The 1790-nt window shown below is 33.6% G+C and overlaps 1 annotated feature.

The window, feature by feature from the left end:
• Nucleotides 436–730: a silencer, noted in NCBI's record as "tiled region #15354; HepG2 Repressive DNase unmatched - State 12:CtcfO, and K562 Repressive DNase unmatched - State 12:CtcfO". NCBI's record gives its function as "represses a minimal TATA promoter and a strong SV40 promoter by Sharpr-MPRA in HepG2 and K562 cells {active_cell/tissue: HepG2 | K562}" and the evidence as "EXISTENCE:reporter gene assay evidence [ECO:0000049][PMID:27701403]".

The raw sequence follows: 1790 nt of genomic DNA on the forward strand, positions 1-1790 counted from the left end.
TAATCACATGGCCTTTCCTACAAGAATGAGTTAAGGTTCATATGTCTTTCAAAGTTTAACTGGTGTGCCTTTTTGATATTATGCCAAAATAACTTTAAAAGCAAAATTTTATTCTTATTTTATTTTTTCAGGGTATTCTTATTAAATCTGATTATCACTCTTCTAATTGCTACTGAAACCAGGAAAAAAAAGCTCAGAAAAGATGTCATATATCTTCAAATTGTTTAAATAAAATTAATCACAGATAATTTTCACATTTTTATCTAAAAGAAGATATTATAAATATTGTTTCTGAAGCAACATATACCTTTGATGTGCTAAGAGGAAAATGAAAATTGTTTCTAAAGTGAAGATAATGTAGGTTTCTAAGTGAAATAATGCATAAACATGTTTTATATTCGCTTTCACACCCTTCTTTTAAAGTCTAAATAAGAAAGCTTATAATTAATATATAAACTGCCCACATCACTCATTCTACTGCATACTGACCAAAAACAAAGAGAGAAAATCACATTCTATGGCATGTGGTTCCTGAGGTAAGATTGAATCCTCCCGGACAGGTGAGTTCTGAATCGCTTCCTGCTGATTGGTTCTAGCTGATTTTAATATTGTTGCCGCTAGATGGCGATAGAGATTATAACTACGCAGTCAAATCTTACATGCAGTGGAATCTTCTCAGTATTCCGTTATTCATGCACCGATTTATTTATTCTAAAGTATTCTTTATTATACAAATATAATTATGACTCAGATAACTGCAAGTTACTATGAATTCCTAGAGGACAGAAATCTTTTCTTTTTTTTTTTTTTGCAATTTTTAATACTTCACATAAGCATAATATCTATATTTAAAATGGTATTGCTGGGCGCGGTGACTTACGCTTGTAATACCAGCACTTTAGGAAGGCAAGGCAGGAGGATCGCTTGAGCTCAGGAGTTCGAGACCAGCCTGAGCAACAGAGTAAGACCGTCTCTACAGAAAAATTTAAAAATTAGCTGGAGCCTGGTGGTGAACACCTGTGTTCCCAGCTACTTGGGGGGCTGAGACAGGAGGATCGCCTGAGCCCAAGAGGTCGAGGCAGTAGTGCGCCACGATTACACCACTGCACTCCAGCCTAGGTGACAGTGTGAGATCCTGTCCCCCCAAAATATTAATATAATATTAATATTATATTAATAATAATATAATATAGGTAATAATAATAATATAGGTTTATATGTATAAATTATATATACTATATGCATTATATATAAATTTAAAGTAATGCAGAGGGCAAGTGTTAAACAGCAACATATATACCTTTGCTTATTGTCTTGTAAATAAAGGCTAAGTCCAGAACTTGGCTGACTTTCCAACTTGCAGAATCAATTTTTTGTTTACCCACCTAGGACAGAGTCTGAAAAACAACAAGAACTCAATAAATATTTGTCCTATGAATGAATGTATTCAGTTGGCTGTTGTCTCTCCATTCTTCTTAAGCTGATTATCATTCTAGTAATATGCTATTTCTTTTAAATGGCAATTAAGTGATACTGAATTTGCCACTTGTAACAGGGTATCAAATACAATCACAGAGTCACTAAATTGTGTCTTTGTTTCATCTCCTTAATCATATTTTCCCACACTTGCTTTAAAAGTTTCCTTGTCATAGTGATCAAACACAAAGGGGAGTGAAGAAACTATAATTCTTCAAGTGTCTAAAATCAGATGATGCTGAAATGGATCATGTGCTTACTAAATAAGACACAGAGTAAATTCCATATCTGCTTGGAGCATGTGACTTCCTGTG

This window comes from Homo sapiens, chromosome 20 (assembly GCF_000001405.40).
Source record: "Homo sapiens chromosome 20, GRCh38.p14 Primary Assembly".
NCBI lineage: Eukaryota > Metazoa > Chordata > Mammalia > Primates > Hominidae > Homo > Homo sapiens.